This window comes from Homo sapiens, chromosome 15, assembly GCF_000001405.40.
Source record: "Homo sapiens chromosome 15, GRCh38.p14 Primary Assembly".
In the NCBI taxonomy this organism is placed as follows: domain Eukaryota; kingdom Metazoa; phylum Chordata; class Mammalia; order Primates; family Hominidae; genus Homo; species Homo sapiens.
In genome coordinates, this window is record NC_000015.10 from 98,890,797 (window position 1) to 98,911,718 (window position 20,922).

A 20,922-nucleotide genomic window follows, 5' to 3' on the forward strand; every position below is an offset into this window, starting at 1 on the left:
GTCATTTTGAATGGTATCATCTTTACTATAGTGTAGTTTAATCATTTTCAAAGTAAGCATTTCTGCACACTAAGGCTTTAAAAGAGTTTTCAGTAAGGAACATATTTGAAATGGAAAGTGAGCAGAGCACAATGCCTTTTAAATTACTGATAAACCATAGAGTTCCTGTAGGGCTTCCACTGGCTGACCCACGCCTGAGGCAACCCTCAAATGTGGGTATTATCCCCCTCATTTTACAGATGGGAAGAGAGAGGATCAAGATCACAGAAGCTAATGGTTTGTCCCAGACCAAACAAGGAGTTCCTAGGAGAGACTGAACTTTAAAGATATCGACTCTCTGCAGGTCTAAGTGGATGAAAGGACAGTGGTGGGGGTGAGGATTTCGTAGTGTGTTTTTGCATTGTCTCCTCAATGAGTGATCTGGTGCTGGTGGTAGCAGTGAATGACCCAGAAGGATGCTGGCCAGGCCCAGAGAAGGCGGTGCCTCCCCTGCCCGGTCTCATCTCCGTCTCTCCTCTCTCTCCACAGTGTGCCCAAGCACGTGTGGGAAGCGGGCGTGCACCGAGAACAATGAGTGCTGCCACCCCGAGTGCCTGGGCAGCTGCAGCGCGCCTGACAACGACACGGCCTGTGTAGCTTGCCGCCACTACTACTATGCCGGTGTCTGTGTGCCTGCCTGCCCGCCCAACACCTACAGGTTTGAGGGCTGGCGCTGTGTGGACCGTGACTTCTGCGCCAACATCCTCAGCGCCGAGAGCAGCGACTCCGAGGGGTTTGTGATCCACGACGGCGAGTGCATGCAGGAGTGCCCCTCGGGCTTCATCCGCAACGGCAGCCAGAGGTCAGTCGCGGCCACACGTGTGGTCACTACCCGCCCCACCTCACCCGCCACCCTAGCACACAAAGGTAGACTCTGTCGGTTGTTTCATCCGGGTGCAGCCCTCAGGAAGTTCACTGAGGTGGGTCATTTTGAGAGGGCTGGCTTACCTTAAATGTTTGGTGAGATTCTAGGAACAATTGGCATGGCTTACCGCCCCCCTCACCAGTTTGTTTTATATTTTAAGTGCATACTGCCTGGCCATTTGAAATTAAGTACTTGCTTGCTGGTTTCGATACCCAGAGTTCATAGTCTCTCTGGGTACTTGCCAAGCTGCCATCTAAGAGACAGGGAACTGTAGTTTTGGATTTTCCTAGTCTGGGTGCTGCTAGCCAGGTGAGGCTTTGGAAGTGCAAAAGAAAAGACATGCTAAGCCCCCACCACCATCCTTGAGACCAGCAAGCGGACCTAAACATCTTAGTGCAAGAGCTAGCAGCAGCTCAGAGTAGGCAGTAGCTTAAAATAAGGGACATTTTTCCATCAGCACTTCCTTCCTCTCATCCCCCTCTACCTTGACCCTCCCTCAGTGCTCATCATGTCCTTCATTTTCCTTCCTGAACTTTGAGACTTCACTTGGGAAGCAAAGAAGTTCCTTATGGCCAGGCATGTGGCTCACACCTGTAATCCCAATACTTTGGGAGGCTGAGGTGCTTGGATCACTTGAGGTCAGAGTTTGAGACCAGCCTGGCCAACGTGATGAAACCCTGTCTCTACTAAAAATACAAAAATTAGCACCTGTAGTCCTAGCTACTCCGAGGCAGGAGAATTGCTTGAACCTGGGAGGCAGAGGTTGCAGTGAGCCAAGATCACACTACTTCATTCCATCCTGGGAGACAGAGTCTCACTCTGTCTCCAAAAAAAAAAAAAAAAAAGAGAAGTTCGTTATAACAAATGCCATATGCCCTTTTGTACATGTCAACTGGACTTCTATAAATTTGTCATTGGTTTATGCTTTTGAAAATAAGATGTTAGCATTGTTTAAAAATGTGATAACTATAACTTTGAAAGCAAAAGAAGATTGGAGATTTGGGGTTGCTGTTCCCTTTCCTGGAGCAGAGTAAAGAACTTTTAGGGGCTCACGCCTGTAATCCCAACACTTTGGGAGGCCAAGGTGGGCAGATCCCTTGAGGCCATGGGTTCAAGACCAGCCTGGGCAACATGCAAACCCCATCTGTACAAAAGATTAAAAAAAAATTAGTTTGGCTTGGTGGCACACACCTGTAGTCTCAGCTCCTTGGGAGTTGCAAGTGGGAGGATCACCTGAGCCCTTGAGGTCAAGGCCGAAATAAGCCAAAATCGCCTCACTGCACTCCAGCACAGGCAACAGAGACCCTGTCTCAAAAAAAAGAACTTTTAGGAAAGTTCTGTTTTAGTGGACTAAATGCCTCCTTCATGATTAGCACCAGGGGGCCTGTCTTTCTGAGTCTGTCAAAATCTATTCTACAAATATAAAAATATCGTTAGAAAAGTAGGTGTTAATTTTAAATATAATTTTTGCTGCAGCTTATGAAGTACATTGAGGAAGTGTTTATAAAGGGGATTCTTTTTCTAGTGTATTATTTGGAGACGCAGCTTCTACTGTAGGCTTACCTTCAAATCAAAGATAATACATTCTTTTATAGTATTAGATGTAGAGCAACTTTCTCCCTCTTATAATCTGTATAACCATTAGCATACTAACAACAAGAAGAAAATTACTCTGAATACTTTAAAATGATAAATAGGCCAAGGACTTCAATGAGCTGTAGAGGATACATATTACATCCAAAATCAGTCTACCACATTGTACTCACATTTTGTTGGCAGCCTTCGAGTGTAAAAGGGCTTTTACTGGTGCACACCTCGGGCCCAGGGGCAGTGCCTGGAACCAAGTTGAGGCTCAGACACTATTCAGACGTCACCTTCCTCCTTGGGGTGGGGTTAGGGGAGTGGTAGCTTGTCCATGAACTCAGTGTGCTATCGTCTTTGTTTTGTGAATACATTTTCTTAATGACATTTGGAGGCCTTCAGTCGTTCTGCAGCCACCAGAGTTGTGGCAAAGTGGGAATGCTGTCCATTTGACAGTGTTGTTTCTTCCGCTCTAGTGCACTCTTCAGAGAATTGAGCCATTATTTCCCCTATTCATTCTTACAGTCCGTTAAAAACTATACATCTACCTTTTTGTTTAAAAATAAAACACCATAAAGAATAATAAATTCCCTTCTCTCAGCCTTTGAGGCTTATTTAACAATTACTTTGAAATATTTAATTTTTTCATCTTGTTTATACCTTCTCTATACCATAGTGGATTTGAGGAAGCTTAATCTATAAACATGTTATCAAAACACTTCCTTAGAAAAACATTTTTTAAGTGCTTGATGACTCCTAGACTTTTTACCAAAGATGATTGGTTCCATTTTTTTTTTCTTTTCTTTTCTCTTTGATAGACTCTGGCTGTGTCACCCAGGCTGGAGTGCAGTGGCACAATCATAGCTCACTGCAGCCTCAAACTCCTGGGCTCAAGTGATCCTCCTGCCTCAGCCTCCCAAAGTGCTGGGATTACAGATGTGAGCCACTGTACCCAGCTTCAGATTTTTCTATTTGAGTGAAAGATGGAGAGAAACTAAACATACACTTATGGTACAACCCAGCAGTTGTAACCCTGGATATTTATCACAGAGAAATGAAATTTATGTCAACACAAAAATATGTACACCATCGTCCATAGCAGCTTTATTTGTAATAACCCCAAATTGGAAATTACTCAGATGTCCTATGATAGATAGTTAGTTAAACTGTGGGACATCCACACCATGGAATATTATTACTCAGCAATAAAAAGGAACAAACCATTGAAGTACACTACTTGGATGGATCTCAAGGACATTATGCTCTGTGAAAAAGCCAACCTCAAAAGATCACATACTGTATAATTCCATTTATGCAACATCCTCAAAATGACAGATTATAGCCAGGCACGGCGGCTCACGCCTGTGATCCCAGCAATTTGGGAGGCTGAGGTGGGTGGATCACCTGAGGTCAAGAGTTTGAGACCAGCCTGGCCAACATGGTGAAACCGTGTCTCTACTAAAATTACAAAGTTTGGCCAGTCACAGTGGCTCATACCTATCTCAGCACCTTGGGAGGCTGAGGCAGGCAGATTGCTTGAGGTCAGGAGGCCAACATGGTGAAACCCCATCTCTACTAAAAATACAAAAATTAGCCGGGCCTGGTGATGGGTGCCTGTATTTCCAGCTACTCAGGAGGCTGAGGCAGGAGAATCACTTGAACCCAGGAGGTGGAGGTTGCAGTGAGCTGAGATCATGCCGCTGCACTGTAGCCTGGGCGACAGAGTGAGACCCTGTCTCAAAAAAAAAAAAAAAGACAGATTGTAGACATGGAAAACAGATTAGTGGTTGCCAGGTGTTAGGGACATTGGGGACTAGGTTGGGCAGGGCAGTGAGTATGAACAGGTGGCATTAGGGAGAGCTTGGTGGTGACGGAACAGTTCTGTATCTTGATTGTAGTTGTGATTACACAAATCTACACAAGTGATCAGTGACACAGCACCACACACACACACACACACACACACACACACACACACACACACACAGAGTTAATTTCCAGGTTTGATACTTATATCATGTAAGATGTAGTAAACATTGGAGGAAGTTGGATGAAGGCTATGTGGGATCTCTCTGTAACTTTCTCGTAAATCTTTGCAGCTTTTTGTGACTCTATAATTATTTTAAAATAAAATTTTTTTTTTTAAATGGAAAGTTTATAGGGTATGTAGATAAATTAGAAACAACAGAAGGCCAAGTAAAAAAGTGCTGAAGGAAGCCTCTACCCAGGCTGGAAATGAGAATGTTGAATGCAATGGTAGAGGAAGGACTCTCCCCATCTGTGGGTGGGTCCAGTTCCTGTAGGACCCTTGGGGAAGCCATGACCCCCATTCTCCCAAACACACAATAGGAAAATACCAGAGAAGTTTTGTTTACCTGTTAGCTTTTAAACAAAACAGAACCCTGCATCTTTGTCTTAGATACAAAATAACCTTCATGGGTAGGGGGAAGGGACATTAATAAAAAGAGCTATAATTTACATTGTTTTTCTTGAATGTTTTTACTTCACGAAATTTGAGAGATGATTTAAGAACAATAATGTACATATAATGGCTCCCCAGCTTACCATCCTATTACACACACATCGCATAAGTTCGTATTATTTGTCTTGTTTGGAAATCAGTCCAACTTTCTGACCCTTGTTCTATATATAACTATAGATCCCAAAGGTTCAGCTGCTGGGCTAGCATTTTGTCTGCTATTTCCTAAATAATGGTAGGTAAGCAGGAAAAGTGCCAGTCTTACTTGTCCCTGACTCTTGGTGGTTCGTGGCATGTTCAGGATAGTATTTGAAACAAGAGCTCATTACAAAGTAATGGAAACCCCTTGCTTTTATTGTGTATGCAGCAAAAGCAACATTTGGATCAATTTACAAGTTTCTGCAAAACACCGTCAAGAAATAATTTCGGTTGTGCTTTAGCAAGAAAATAATGGATCTGTGCTATACCACATGCCTTTTGGTATCCCTCACTGGGCTTTGCCAAAACACTGACTGCAGGAGCTAGACTACTGTTAGGCAGAGACACTGCACTCCCTTTGCTGTCCCTGCCTTCTCTCCTAGCGACTCCTCCAGGTACACAGGCCAGGGTCACAGTATCAGAAAGCAGCTCTGTTTTCCTCCAGAACCCCCCAAGCTTCCTTTCTGCAGCACTGTCTCTCCCACATGGAACCAGCTGGCTCACCAGTCAACAGCCTATGACACACAAATGCCTTGAGGATGCAGCATGTATTTTGTCTGGAAGCAAGCAACACGCTCTTCCTTTGTAGGCTGTTTCTCCTTTTGCTTGCAATGTGAGTGGCTTATCTTGGGTGGGCTTGGGGGTGAGATACCATGTGACCACATGAACACTTCAAAACAGTTGCTTTTTCTAATGCATGCTGTAATAACAATGAAAAGCATATCCTTATGGTTTTTTTAATGCAAGAAGACAGACTCAATTATGTGTGTTTTTGATTTTTTTTTTCTTCTTCAACAGCATGTACTGCATCCCTTGTGAAGGTCCTTGCCCGAAGGTCTGTGAGGAAGAAAAGAAAACAAAGACCATTGATTCTGTTACTTCTGCTCAGATGCTCCAAGGATGCACCATCTTCAAGGGCAATTTGCTCATTAACATCCGACGGGGGAGTAAGTATTCCATCCCCCTGGAAAAACGGCTAGATCTCATGGTTTTCTTTTGTTGATGCTTTTCATGCTCCCGTCCCTGAGTCACCACTAAAATATGGGCTTAGATAAACAACATGGTGTGTAAGCCTCACGCATGACGTCTCTTCTTTGAGTTTCCCTGAAAGATAAAGAACAGATTGAAAGGCAATCTGTCTTTTAGCCATTGGCACGTCATTTATTCCTGTAAAGAGGGTCATCGCTCATCTTTTTGTTAGTCACATCTTGCATAGGAGAGGCAAGCCCTGACACATACAAACCCCAGAAGAGACCATTGGATCAGACGTGTGACTCAGCAGACTCCAGCTGTAGCCAAATCCACACATCTTTCAAGTCTAAAGAGTTTTGGTTACTTGAATTTACTGAGAAGACTGAGCAAAGGGAAGTTTAGTGATATCACGTTAAAATTTTATGAAGTCCAAAAGAATGCTAGATTTCCAAATTTACTTGTGAGAGACAAAAGGATACAAGTGTGTGTCATTGTGTACATAAAGTTTCGGTCTCACCCCTGTACAATGACCTTTATTTGCAATAGATGGCATTCCTGGTAAGTTGCTTCTGAGTTGGATTTGTGCAAAGGATTTCCCACTGACTTAGCCTATGATCTCTTCACTTCTTTGGTTTTTTGTGTGTTTGTTTTTTGGTTTTGTTTTGAGACAGGGTCTCACTGTATCACCCAGGCTGGAGTGCAATGGCATAATCATAGCTCACTGTAACCTGGAACTCCTAGTCTCAAACAATCCTTCTGCTCAGCCTCCCACGTTGCTGGGACCACAGGCACACACTACCATGTCTGGATAATTTTAAAAATCTTTTCACTTCTGATTTTTCATTGCCAAGGGCTTCTAGTAATGGTGCCTTAAATTCTCTGCCACTGGGACCACTTGGTCAAGGTACTGATAGTTTTATAAGCTAGAATAAATATCGTAAAATGGCTTTGAAGTTGAAAGGAATTTTGGGGGGGGAATCCTTTTATGAAGAATTTTTTTTTTTTTTTACAGTTTGAGAGGAAAAATAATGTATTTTGAGAATGTGTTTTCCTTAATATTTGTTAAATGAGTAGACTGTATTCTTAAGGTTTAGAAAGGACAGAAACAAGTTTGTGCTTAGTTCTTCTGAATTAGTTGATATCCCTTGTTGCTGTTCACAATACACCCACTCCCAGCCCTCCGTGATGGAGATAACTCTGTTCCCCACAACTAGGGCTTGCCCACTCTCATGGTACTTCTGATGTTTAATTCTTTTGGCTGTGTCTGCATTTCCTCATTTACTTTTAATTTGCTTATCCCTAGAACATACCTTTTGAGTGCCTAAACTTTTTTATCTTCCTGTCCTGAAGACAAAAATTTAATCTGTGAATTAAACCCATGGAGAAGTATCATTTATGAAGGGATTGGTACATATTGATGCATGATGATGAAATGTGTCTTCTGGTTTATGTCCATTGCAGGAAATAGATTGGATTTAGGATGATGGGACATCTCATTAGAGGGGAAATTTCCTGATCTTGACTAAGGCATGCTTCCTGCCCCACGTTTAAAATTCAGGATCTCTTCCTTAAAACATCAACTGCACGCAACCTCTCATCTTTCCAACTTGAACTTCCCTTTAATTTTTCTTGGAAAGCTATTAAATTAAATTAGATGTAGGGCTTTATCCTTTAGTACCCTTATTATTTTATTTGTATCAACTCAAAGCAAAATAGAGCATTTTATTAAATATGTCTTCATAAATTACGCACAGTAAAATCCCATTAATTGGACCACACCCAGTTCATTATAGTGTTTATTATAATTTTAGCATTAGTTGAACTGAAAATTGGTTTTTGTTTACTATGAGAAAAAGGTAGACTAAACAAGATGAAACCTGTTGTTTGCATATTATGTTTGTACATCTTTATTAGCAACTATTTTTCCAACTATTTTCAACTATTTTTCCAACTATTTTCTAGTTATAAAAGCAATACATAAATACTATAGAAAATTTAGCAATGCAGAAATGAATTTTTAAAAATCCCTCATAGATAGCCATTGTTAACATTTTGGTGTATTTTCTTCAAGTCTTAGTAAAATGGAACCTTTAAATATAGATCCCTGTATCTTAGGAATTAGAAAGGCAGCAAAGGCAGTTCCTAATGAGATGGAGAAAATGTTGATTTAGTCATGCCCTTGTACTGTGGGGGCCATACTGTCTGTTGACAGAGCATATTAAAAGACGTTCCCTACATTCGTCAGCCTTAGCTAATTGGCAGTCTGGTATTTATGATTTTATATTTTGTTAATCAGCTTGGGAGCTGCAGTACCCCCCAGCCTCCTAGAAACTTGGCTTCCCCTGCCTGGGAGGCCTCGTTCCAGGAGTCGTTGTTGAGAGTCAAGCCAGGGAAGTGTGTTTTTGTCAGGGAGCAGCCAGTCCTGTGCTGGGAGCATCTCAGGGGGCACCTGCCGTTGAATTGTTCTCACTTGTGTTTGTAAGAATCCAAGTATGTCACCCTTACACCAAGTGAGCACACAGTGACACAATCCCCTTTCAATGTAGATAACATTGCTTCAGAGCTGGAGAACTTCATGGGGCTCATCGAGGTGGTGACGGGCTACGTGAAGATCCGCCATTCTCATGCCTTGGTCTCCTTGTCCTTCCTAAAAAACCTTCGCCTCATCCTAGGAGAGGAGCAGCTAGAAGGGTAAGTGCCCCAAATTTCATGAGCTGACGTTCTATTACAAAATAAGCAGCGTGCTTATGAAACTGTGTTGCTGAGGTAAGAGCCCTCCCTGCCTTGTTAAAGAGAAGAAAGGAGGAAGCCGCAGTATTGCCTGTGCTGCTCGAGTAGGTCTTGGGTGGAGTCATGGTTCTCCATTCTTAGGAGGTTGCTGTTTGGAAAACAGAGATGTTATCACCCTTACTGGATTTTGCCTCATCAGTCAAGGGTTGCGTGTCTGACTGTGACCAGTGAGACGGCAGACGGGGGTGCGCTTAGGGCTTTTCTGCCAAGAATGACAGCAGTTGGTCTGGAGTGCTCACCTCCCTGTGAAATCATTGTTCGCGCGACCCTCATCTGCCTCAGGATGCTGTACTCTACTACGCACAACTGCTCCATCTTTTAAGATATTGGAAGTGAGAGCACGGGAGGAGCATGGGCGGTTCGTTTTGTTAGAAAGAAACCCGGATTCACGAGATGGTTTTTATTGATTAGTTTACAGGATTTGCACTATTGATAGAGTTTTTGCCTTGGCACAGGCCTGCTTTGTGATAGGGGTTTTAAAATAACCGTGGGCTTTTCACTGGAGGATAAAAGCCGGTGCTTATTGCATGCACAATTGCTTTCCAGCCGTCAGCCTGTGTGTACCTTTGCATATGTACTTTTCTCTTTAAACTCTCCCTTTTAAATACGACTCTTGCCAGGCTTTAAGTGAATGCTTCAAAATAAAAGGAGTTATCAATTAAAGAGTGAATTCCTTCCAAAGAGAATTTGGGAAAATAATTTAGGAAAAGAAGAGGCGAGAAGGTCATGGGAAAGGTTGTCTTTGCTGATTTATCTGCCCCAACTGGATAAAGTTACTGCATAAGGGTTTCTTTACAGCCTCCCTGTTTTTCTCAGACTAACTCTTGGTCAGTCTTAAATTCTTAAAATTCCATCATCTGATAGAGCTAACGAGAGCGGGCAGCTCTTCATTCCATCCTTGAAAAGCACAGTGTCCTCCCCACTGGGGAACACCAATCCTTAAAAAACTTCTTTCTCATTGCAAATCGAAGGAGGCTGCCGCTGCACCCAGCCCCAGACTCCTCAGTCACTTACCTGGCAAGCTGAGGCCCTACCAGTTTAAGGTGATGATTATTGTTTCTTGTATTAAATTTTAAAATGAATTTTTCTCCGCTTTTTTTTTTTCTAAGTAGGTTTGTGTTTCTGGAATCTCGGGTGTCTGTGAGCATTTCTTCTTCAGCAGAGCAGTAGCTGTCAAATTTTCTTGTTGCTTAATGATATACTTTTTTGTTTCTAGACTAAGCAAATGATAGACATAGAGGTGAATGCTGAGAGGAGAGTTTAATTAATTTCCATTAGGAATTATTATGTGGTTACCTTTTCATGGAGTGTTAACTAAGTATTGTGCACTTAAATGTAGTTAGAAATTAAAGCCTGATTTTTATTTGCAAGAATATTTATGATGTCTTTCTCATTATCTGAAACTTGCATAAAACCTGAAGCATCAGCAAAATCTTTTTAAGGTTGCGTGCTCAGGTGTTTGGGAGGCTTTCCAGGTAAGCCCGGGCCCCTGGCCTGCTCTTACCATTTTAGATGCAGGGGAGGGCAAGTGGGCCTTGGGTTTTCCCTGCTGCTGCTGCTCCCCAGTAGTCCTGCAGCTCCAAGGATGCTGGCTCCAGCCTTTCATTCCTGCGTGCAGCTTCTAAGAGGCTCTTTCTTGAGCTTGGGCTCTTAAGAATCTTTTACCTCCCGATGGGAAGTTTTCTCTCACCCTGTCTTCCTGGCCCATGACCACAAAGGTATAGCCCATCCTCACGATGATGAGCTCCCCAAGAGCTCTGTTTGCTTCAGGTGTTGAGACCGCTAGCAACACCTCAGCTGTTCATTTCTCCTTAGACTCAGGGACAGAGTTAGGTCTGGCCCCTTCACTAGCTGCCCTCACTTCTGCAAGAAGGGAAGAGTCAGAGCGAGAAAGAGAAGGACAGGATACGATAGTCAGATAAACATCAGCAGTGCAAAGCAGAACTCGCACAGTGATACAAGGGAAAGAAAGAAATGTGCCCTAGGCATGGAGAAGAGCCAGATACCTGAGAAGATCAGACAGGCTTCTGACAAGAGGTGGCATTTGAGATGGGCCTTGAAGGCTTTCGGGAAAAACTTGAGGAAAGCAGAGGATTGAAGTGAAGAAAGGCAATTCAAGGTAGGGTGGCAGGAGCAAAGGCAACGAGTTGGGGCATCCTGGGGCCTGTTGGGCAACTAACACTGGAGAGGTGGGTGGTACTAGAGTTATGTAAGATGTTTTGCACGCAGGTATAAAGGGTTATAATTTAGGAAGACCATGGAACGTATTCAAGGCTTTTGAATAGAGGAGTGTTAGCAGAGCTGTCTGAAATTTTTATTTCGGTGTGCTTTTGGTTTAAGCCAAGATAGCTTTCATCCCAGTGTTTCTCAAACTTTGCTACACATTATGGAATCATTGGGGGTGGGGGCAGGGGTGGAGTTGAGAAATCCTGATGTCCAAGTTGCACCCCCACCCCAATTCAATAGGAGCGTTTGGGGTTAGGATCCAGGAATCAGTGCTTGTCTAAAGATCCCTAGGCACTTCAGCAGGCAGCAAAGATTGGAAACCACTGCTTTATCCCTTCATTTCTTCCCATGTGCATATCACAAAGCACTTTGACGGTTTTTTTTCCTAAATATTTTCCCCTCACACTGCTGCCTAATGTTTTAGAGGTTCACCCATGTTGTTAACACGTGTCACACTATTTTCTTGAACTTTTTTTTTTTTTTTTTTTTGAGATGGAATCTTGCTGTGTCGCCCAGGCTGGAGTGTAGTGGCGCTGTCTCGGCTCACTGCACCCTCTGCCTCCTGGGTTCAAGCGATTCTCCTGCCTCAGCCTCCTGAATAGCTGGGATTACTGGCACGCACCACCACGCCCGGCTTATTTTTGCTTTTAGTAGAGACGGACTTTCACCGTGTTGTTCAGGCTGGTCTCAAACTCCTGACCTTGTGATCCGCCCGCCTCAGCCTCCCAATGTGCTGGGATTACAGGCTTGAGCCACCACGCCCGGCCTTCTTGAACTTCTTTTATAGCCAGTGATAACATAAATGTTTCCATTTGGTTCAATAGGATGAAAGTTCTGTTCTGTAGCCTTTTGTTTTTGATGGAGAACAGAACAATTCAAGGTACAGAGATCCTTCAACTCTGACAACCTTGGCTTTCCAAAATGTCACTGAGATCCCCCTCAAAAAGTCTCCTGAGCCATCCAGAACAGAAAATTCAAGCATTTTACATAGAGTAGAGCTCTTATTCCTCACTCAGAGCCTGTTGACTTTTATATCGCACTCGGCGTGAGCTGATTTTGTAACCCAGTTACAAAAGCCATAGCCATGGTTTCCTCAAGGACACCATAGGGTGTATTTCTAGAGTAATGACCTTAGACATTAAGAAAATCAAGACCGCTCTGCTGTTTACAAAGGAAACAGGTTTTGTAATCCACATGTACACAATTTTTATAAAATAGCTAATTTTTAAGCTCTTGAGTAAGAGAATATTTTCACTATCTGGAAAATCCCCTTGTTTGGACAACCTTGTTTCCTGATGGCATCAGATAAATAAGGAGTTAAAGTTTCACATTATTTGGTGCTACCAAGGATTGTTGCCTTGAAAAGAAGAAGGAAAAAGTAGATGGAGGGTGGTGAGTTAAAAGAATTGAAATTCGCGGATAGGCATTTCTATGCTTTTGTTCCTACCACTCGACTGTGCAACACGCAGTGCTTTGTAATACCTTCTTGGAGCTCAAAGGTCAGGCTGAAACATGGCCGCTTTTTCACATTTCCCTGGGACTTTTGGAAAATATACACCAACCCTGTGACCTAGCAATTCCGGGATCCACCCAAGAGAAATGAAAACATGCCCACACAAGACTTGTGTATGAATGCTGGTAGCAGTATTACTCATAATAGCCTCCCGGGATTCCCCCGACCCCCAGCCCAAAAGAAAGACCCACTGGAAACCATTCAGATGTTCATCAGCAGATGAGTGGATAGAAAGATAAATGGATAAATGAAATGTGGCACAAAGGACAACTGACTACTCAACAATAAAAAGACGTGAAGTATGACACGTGTTACAACATGGGTGAACCTCTAAAACATTAGGCTAAGTGAAAAGAAAAAATCCAGACACAAAAGACTACATATTATATGACTCATTCGTATGTAATTTGCAGAAAAGGCAAAACTATAGAGACAGAAAGCAGACCAGGGATGGCTGCAAGGAAGAGGTGGAGATTGACCACCAATGGGAATGAGGGAACTCTTGGATGATGGAAGTGTTCTGGAACTGAGTAGTGGTGATGGTTGGACAGTTGTGTAAATTTACGGAAGCTCATGGAATGATGGGTGAATTTTTTTTTTTTTTTTTTTTTGAGATGGAGTCTCACTCTGTCACCCAGGCTGCAGTGCAGTGGCGCTGTCTCGGATCACTGCAAGCTCCGCCTCCGGGTTCACACCATTCCCCTGCCTCAGCCTCCCGAGTAGCCGGGACTACAGGCGCTCACCACCACGCCCGACTAATTTTTTTGTATTTTTAGTAGAGACGGGGTTTCACCATGTTAGCCAGTATGGTCTCGATCATCTGACCTCGTGATCTGCCTGCCTCGGCCTCTGAAAGTGCTGGGATTACAGGTGTGAGCCACCGTGCCTGGCCTGATGGGTGAATATTTGATAGGCAGGTTATACTTCAGAAGTAAAGCTATTTTTAAGAAACACCTAAACAAAGAGGAAACATTGTCTGAATATCTGTATGGTGCCTGGTTCCACCTAGATAGACATATCCACCCTTGCTGAACCCCTAAGGTTGATGTAAATATTGGATTTGGGGGAGAGTGGACATGATATAAACCAGCCTGTTTGCAGATGGATTGGTGGGAGCATCTGCAGAAAGGCAAAAAAGGCCAAATACTCTTATCAGTTGCAGATGGCTCTGTTGCTGATGACAGCCTGTGTCCTGGGTTCTGATGCCCCCTAGAGACAGCCGTGAAGAGGCAATTTTCTCCTCGAAGGAAGGAACTGGAATGATTGGTTGTATAATTGCAGAATTGTTTTCAGTATGTCAGCAAGCACTGAAAATGGGGAAACTGTCCCTTCCTACCTCTGTAGGCTGGAGACCTCGGGTTCAGCTCCATTTATCAGGGCACAGGACCTTCCTGTTCTGAGACTTTGTTCCAGGGGACTTTCACACTTCAGAGAATAGCACATGTCATCCTGCACTTTTGTGGGGTGATTAAAAGCTCACGGTATCCTTTTATGTTTAGCCCATCCAATTCTTCCAACTGGCCTCAGCCAGAAAAGCAGGGAAGGCACCCCCAGTTTGCAGCTGAGAGACTCCAGCCTGGGAGAGCTGAATAAATCTTTTGCCCAGAGGGGTTCCTCAGTAAATGCTGGAGATGAGGCTCAGACCTGACCTTTGGATTCCCAGATGGAGTGCTCTGAACCGTGTACCTGGGGCTGTCTTCACCACTCAAATATCGATAGAGATAACATAGAGATGTCCTCAGGAAGATAACCAACTGTTCCCATCCTGTGTGGTCTACAGATTGGGAGATAGGGCCTACCCAAGTGTAGAAATAAACATTTTTTACAACATAGAGAAGGCTGAGAACCAGGATACCAATATCAATAAAATCTGGATATCATAGAGCACATGGAAGCTAAAGAAAAATAAGTAACTGGTCAGGTGTGGTGGCTCACACCTGTAATCCCAGCACTTTGGAAGACCATGGCAAGGCATTGCTTGAGCCCAGGAGTTTGAGACCAGCCAGGGCAACATAGTGAGATACCAGCTGTTAAAAAAAAAAAAGAAAAGAAAAATTAACCAAGCATGGTGGGGCATACCTATGGTCCCAGCTACTTGGGAGGCTGAGGTAGGAGGGTAGCTTGAGCCTGGGAAGTTGAGGCTGCAGTGCTCTGTCATTGCACCACTGCACCCCAACCTGGATTACAGAGTGAGACCCTGTCTCAAGGGGAAAAAAAAAAAAAAACCTAATTTTTAAAAGCATTCTTTGAATGTAAAGGCAGTAAGCTAAGAAACAATTAGGAAATCACATTTACTGAATAATTTACTTAAGTAATCTTTTTCTTCAGGAAACAATGATAACTTTAGCGTATGCATATTTTAAAGATGTGCAGACAGGTCTCTGCCTTTTACCTTCTCTTAATTCTCACCTAATCATGGAAGGAATTTAGCGGGGAGCCTTGCCCCAAGCTGTGGCTCGAAAAACAAGCATGGTATTGACAGGCAGCTCATGAATGGCTTGATTATTATTTTGACAAGGGTTTTATTTTTATTTTTCTTTAGCTTCCACAGGCTCCATAATGCCTGGGTTTTATTGATATTGGTATCCTGGCTCCCAGCCTCTTCAATGATTGTAAAAAATGTTTGTGTTTACTGTAAAAAGATAATCTTGCTTTTCAAAGTGATTAGTCAAATACACAGAATTTCAGTGTGCCTGCCATTCATTTGTCAAATTCCTGGTTTATAATTCATGCTTCCTCCCGTGGGGGAGAAGAATGTTTTGTTCAGAAGGTATTTTTGGTGTGGTTCCGTTCCCTGCTAGTGAAATTAGTTTATGAAAAGAGGCCTGGTTCTGGGTGTAGATGGAAGTTTGGCCTGATTAATTGGTCCTTACCGGCAGCCCAGAGGTTTCTTCATCAACAAGGAGATTTTGTCCTGTAACTAACTCAGGTACCTGGAAGCAGCCCGACATTTGGGGGTGCATCGCTGCAGTCTCCTTTGGAGCTGGAGAAACCTATGAGCAAGAATGGGCTTATGACACATCCATTTCCACTCCATCCCTCCTTCCGTTGTATGACTGCATGGAGCCCCTCTGACCTCCAGCAGTGTCACCTGCAGCCTGGTAGTGAGAAACAGCAGGTATGGATGGGGTCTACCCCCAGCAACAGTAGCGCCAGCTGGGCCATATCCTGGCACTGCTCCCCAGGAAACACACCTTGTGTTGCATTGACCAGATCTGGGATCATTTGGACAATGTCTTATGCTGCTTTTCCAGGATAGCTGTGTGTTCAGGAGGGAGCCCTTACTGAAAGGAAAGAACTGTTGACTTACAAGTTTTTGCTACCGGTTTGGTGGTCACTAATGTGTCCAGAGGCCTGAAGATGGGCGTGTGAGGAGCCTGACTTAGCTTCAGAGGCTCTGTCTTTCGACTCACTTGTGTGCTCACTGCACCCCTGTGCTGGCAGGACTCCAACCTCCACCCCCAGCACTTGTGTGGACAGAGAGCCCAGTGCTCAGGAAAGGGTTGGGCTTCAGGCTTGTGATGCAGATTCCGTGGTGGCTCTGTGACTCCTTCTGGTCGTTCTTAAAGTAGACAGGGAGCTTAGATGTCACCTGTGCATTCCCCTTGTTGTCCTACGAGTGAGTAAACAGGGCTACAGATAGCACTAAGGGATCTGCGCATGGCTGTGCAGCTCATTCATGGCATTTCTGGTCCTGGGTCCCAGTCTCTGAACTCCTTCCTGGTCTGACGTCCCTTTGTGAATGTTCAGGAAAATGTCACAGGGCTGCTTGGCAGCATTGTAACCATAATTTGTGCTTTACTGTAAATGAGAATCAGGCTGAGGATTGACCAGCTGGTTAGAGGTCCTGGTTTGGGTGTAAATGAAGACCCTCACCAGATGCAGAGAGATCCCCAATGGACATAGCCTCCAGGGCAGACGAAGCCTTAGGGGTTCTGTTTTGTCCTGGCTACGCTGGCTCTGCAGGGAGGGCTGGGGTTCTTTCTCCTTTGTGTGTTTATACATTAGATCTGTGAGTGGATCTTAGAAGTCACTCAAAGTACTGCACTGATTCCCAAACTTAGTAAGAAGCAGAGCAGGAAGAGGAGAAGAAGGATTCACGGTCCATGGGGATCAGGCCCATCAGCACAGAGGACTCAGAAGTCAACCCTGGCATTGTCTGCTGCCTTCCTGGGGAAGCCAGAGAGAAAGGCCCACTGCGGGGATCTTTCTCTAGACCTAAGCCGTAGCTGTCTGCTTTCTTGCCTCTCCAGGGATGGACTTGTCCTGCCACCTGGGTAGCCAGATAGAACGGCTTCCTGTGCTGGTTGGATCTGCTACTCGTGTGCACACCCTCTGGGGCAGAAGCCACGTCTGGTTTGGTGGGCTTTGGTCCTCCACCACCTCACTGGAACTCAGCCTCTCCTAGATTGCTGGTTCTCCACGTGTGGTCCAGGGACCACAGCAGGGGTCAGCACCACCTGGGATTTGTGATAAATGCAGATTCTTTGCCCACCCCAGCTGAATCAGAAGCTCTGGGGGTGGGGCCCAGCCCTTTGCAAACAAGCTTTGTGCACACTGAACTTGGAGAACCACTGTGTTGGACTCCGAGTCCTCTTGCCTGGATGAGAGGCCCAAGAGCACTGCATGTTAGTGGCTCTTCCTCCTCCCCCACACCTCCAGGGACTGGAGCTGGGGCTGCTCAGAATGAAAGATGAATGGGGGAGGGAGAAGGCCCAGGGTTGACCCCCCACAAGCTTGTCTCCCTGTCTCATGCTGTCTCCTATCCCATCATGCTGCTGATTGGGCAGGATTTACTTCCATGGATAATGGGAGACTTTAGAGCAAAGTGTACGCTGTTCCGATTGGGTAGCAGAGCATGTCTGTTCTCTCATGGACTGCTTTCAAGCACGTTGTACATACTTGGCTGAGAAAAATAACCAAAGGCATTTCTTGGGAATGATTCTAGTAACATCCTCTGGTACAAGAAGCATTATTTGATGGTAATAGTGGTCATAGAATTAATTAGCATCTTACCGATTTTGATATGTTATCCTTGAATCATGTTGCTGCCATTGTTAACAGCAACTGTCTGTTCTCCTATAGTGTTAATAACTAAATCTCTTATTGGCAAAGGAAATGTATTGTGGAGCAGGTGGCAAAGAGGACCTGTGTTACGTGGCCAGCAGGCTAGAGGGGACTGTGGCCAAGGGCAGGTGCGCTAACATCGATTTCTGTGCTTCTAGGAATTACTCCTTCTACGTCCTCGACAACCAGAACTTGCAGCAACTGTGGGACTGGGACCACCGCAACCTGACCATCAAAGCAGGGAAAATGTACTTTGCTTTCAATCCCAAATTATGTGTTTCCGAAATTTACCGCATGGAGGAAGTGACGGGGACTAAAGGGCGCCAAAGCAAAGGGGACATAAACACCAGGAACAACGGGGAGAGAGCCTCCTGTGAGTGACAGCATCCAAAACACCGTGGGCCCAACCATCATGATAACAGCAGACCCTCCTCCCATGTGTGATGGCAGCTTTCCTCTGCGGCCCCTCCTGGTTTCACATGGGGGACCACTAGACCATCTTAACTAGCACTTTGCTCCTACTTATATGTCATCACAATCAGTAGTGGGCAGATACGTGATGTATTCGTATTTATAAATTCTGTACATCTCTGTGAGTGTGTGAAACACTTATAAGTAGGTTCTCAAACTTTAAAGTGCTGCTTACAGAATGCACAGTTAAATGTCCTTTTATACACAGGTGCACAGTTAGATATTTCTCTTTCTTTTTTCTTTTCTTTTTTTTCTTTTTTTTTCTTTTTTTTTTTTTTTTTTGAGATGGAGTCTCACTCTGTCACCCAGGCTGGGGTGCAGTGGCATGATCTTGGCTCACTGTAACCTCCACCTCGGTTCAAGCGGTTCTCATGCCTCAGCCTCCCGAGCAGCTGAGATTACAGACACCTGCCACCATGCCCAGCTAATTTTTGGATTTTTAGTAGAGACGGGATTTCATCATGTTGGCCAGGCTGGCCTCAAACTCCTGACCTCAAATGATCCACGTGCCTCAGCCTCCCAAAGTGCTGGGATTACAGGCTTGAGCCACCATGCCCTGTCCGATTATTTTTCAGGGAAGAGCCAGTGTGCTTCAGCCCTATGAGCTCTACCCTTCTGCTCCCACAGAAGGGAAGCACAGGCCTGTGGGGTGGAGGGGGCTCTGCCCTAAGCGCAGCCCCTGTGGGCCACGGGTTTCCTGTCCCTTACACTCGGCCGCCTTGTTTCTCCCACCCCAACATGAAAAAGATGGAGTGAGCCTGCAGCCCTGAGTTGATATTGCTTTTTAAATTGAGAACAATATAATTACAGCCTTGTACTGTTTATAAAACTTTAAGGTCTCATATCAGAGATACAGCAGTGCCTTTCTCATCTAACCCTGTGTAGAATACGGCTGTTGAGAATGGCGTGGCTCTCTGGCTGGATAGGGTTATAAAAGTAAATCGTCTTTTCACCTTTGGCTTTTAATAAGGGAAGGGTATTAGAAAAAAAGTAATTTGTATGATGAAGGGTGATTTGTGCGTGTGTGCAGACAGACACACATGCAGGGAGGCAAATCAGAACCGATGCGTGTTTGGCTTTGGCTTGTTTCGCTGGTGTCTGGATTTACCTGGCGACACTTGTTGCTCTGGGGGATCTTAGAGGGAAGCACGCTGACTGACCTAGGGCTGAACAGCAGGCTGACGACCAGCGCCGCCTCCCGCCCCCTGCTCACTCTATCCCTGCAAAGCCCCTGCCTTGCTCCCTGTTCAGATCATAGTAAAATCGGATGTATCCGAGTATTTCAGAGTGCTTGTCTCCTTAGAGTCAGCCAGTCTGACCTGTCAGATCATAATACATAGTAGCCGTTTATTTTCTTTTGAAAGCAAAATCATGGTTTCCTCTCTAAATAACACTTCAGCAGGAACTGTGACATTTCCCAATCTCAGTTGCGCACATTTTGTCCTAAAGACTTCTTAGCTCTTTTACTGTCTTCAGTCCCTCTGCTTCACCTCTTGAGTGTGTAGTGGGATTCAGGCAGATAAGAGGGCGAAAGGACAATTCGTCAGAGAGCTCTGGGTCTCCATGAGGGTGGGCAGTCATCAGTCTTTCCCTGGTCCTTATCGTAGTTTGAATTTGGTCCAAGGAATAAGAGAGACACTTGGCACAGCTTCCCTGCCATACCCGCCAGCCAGGCTACTTCCCATAGAGCACGTTAGGCTTGGCCAAGTGAGATCTTCTTGTCAGTGCTTAATCCAGCCTCCCGTTGTTTGTCAGCCCTAGCTGGAGGCCTCACAGGAGTTCCTGTGTCCTTCCAGTTTGATACCAAGTTTAGACCAAGAAAAGTTCCTTTCTGTGGCACACCTGTAGTCTCTTACCTGTCTTTGGTGGTTGTACACGAACAGGCAGATATCCACAACTGCAGAACAAGTGTCATCGTCTCTCTTAAGAAGTTTCAGGGCAGCCTAAAGGCTCACCTTCACCCTACCAGGCCCCCTTTCATAGCCAGGATCTTAGGGATGGAGAAGAAAGATAAGTTCACCTCGTTCACTGAAGTCGCCCCTTGTTTTCAGGTTAGGAAACCCAGGTTCATGTCCAAGTCCCTGGGCAAGTAGCCAGCGTAACTGATTGACCTAAAACAAAGGATGGAGCCCTTGGAGCTCTGCATAGTGAAATGTATGATTTCTTAGTGGAAAACGAGAAAGCCACTGAGGAAGCCCAGAAGGGAACTTAGCATATACAGCCAGCTTTGGGGAAGGGGGAAGCAGTGCCAAGCAAGACAGGTGCTTTTCAGAGACACATGAATCTCTGTCACTCACGGATGTACTCTTTGCCCCAGGTGAAAGTGACGTCCTGCATTTCACCTCCACCACCACGTCGAAGAATCGCATCATCATAACCTGGCACCGGTACCGGCCCCCTGACTACAGGGATCTCATCAGCTTCACCGTTTACTACAAGGAAGCGTGAGTTTCTGCTTTGGGTGATGCCATTCTGTTGACAGGGCTACGAATGGGAGAGGCCAGTCTTTCGATCCTTGAATGGGCTGGCTGAATACAGGGGGTCAGCAGAGTCCCCAGGGAGAGCCACGCCAAACATCCCTACTTCATCCTCATGCACCCTCTCGGGCTGTCCCTGTGATGTCAGTCACAGCCAGTGACAGCCATGATTGGGAAAGTGTTAGCTCGAGGCCTGTCATTCTTTAGTGAGTGATTAGAGGTGTTTGAATAAAATAAACCCAAA

At 44.9% G+C, this 20,922-nt stretch overlaps 1 protein-coding gene across 9 annotated transcripts in view, besides 2 other annotated features; it reads left to right on the forward strand.

The window, feature by feature from the left end:
• IGF1R (insulin like growth factor 1 receptor) overlaps positions 1–20,922 on the forward strand; it is a 315,992-nt gene that overhangs the window by 242,258 nt on the left and 52,812 nt on the right. For 8 of the 9 annotated variants that reach the window (NM_000875.5, XM_047432443.1, NM_001291858.2 and 5 more), the window contains 5 exons: positions 529–841; positions 5,961–6,109; positions 8,681–8,825; positions 17,889–18,103; positions 20,519–20,645. In NM_000875.5, the coding sequence (NP_000866.1) occupies positions 529–841; positions 5,961–6,109; positions 8,681–8,825; positions 17,889–18,103; positions 20,519–20,645 (949 nt within the window). Of the gene's footprint in view, positions 1–528; positions 842–5,960; positions 6,110–8,680; positions 8,826–9,143; positions 9,968–17,888; positions 18,104–20,518; positions 20,646–20,922 lie in introns of those variants that run through there. The other variant, XM_011521517.3, reaches the window with a different exon arrangement.
• Positions 5,511–6,710: an enhancer, noted in NCBI's record as "P300/CBP strongly-dependent group 1 enhancer chr15:99439536-99440735 (GRCh37/hg19 assembly coordinates)". NCBI's record gives its function as "activates an origin of replication core promoter dependent on BRD2, BRD4, P300/CBP, MED14 and CDK7 cofactors, with strong dependence on P300/CBP, by STARR-seq in HCT116 cells {active_cell/tissue: HCT116}" and the evidence as "EXISTENCE:reporter gene assay evidence [ECO:0000049][PMID:35650434]".
• Positions 17,070–17,570: an enhancer, noted in NCBI's record as "H3K27ac-H3K4me1 hESC enhancer chr15:99451095-99451595 (GRCh37/hg19 assembly coordinates)". NCBI's record gives its function as "activates a minimal SCP1, AML or CMV promoter by ChIP-STARR-seq in primed H9 embryonic stem cells {active_cell/tissue: H9 hESC(primed)}" and the evidence as "EXISTENCE:reporter gene assay evidence [ECO:0000049][PMID:30033119]".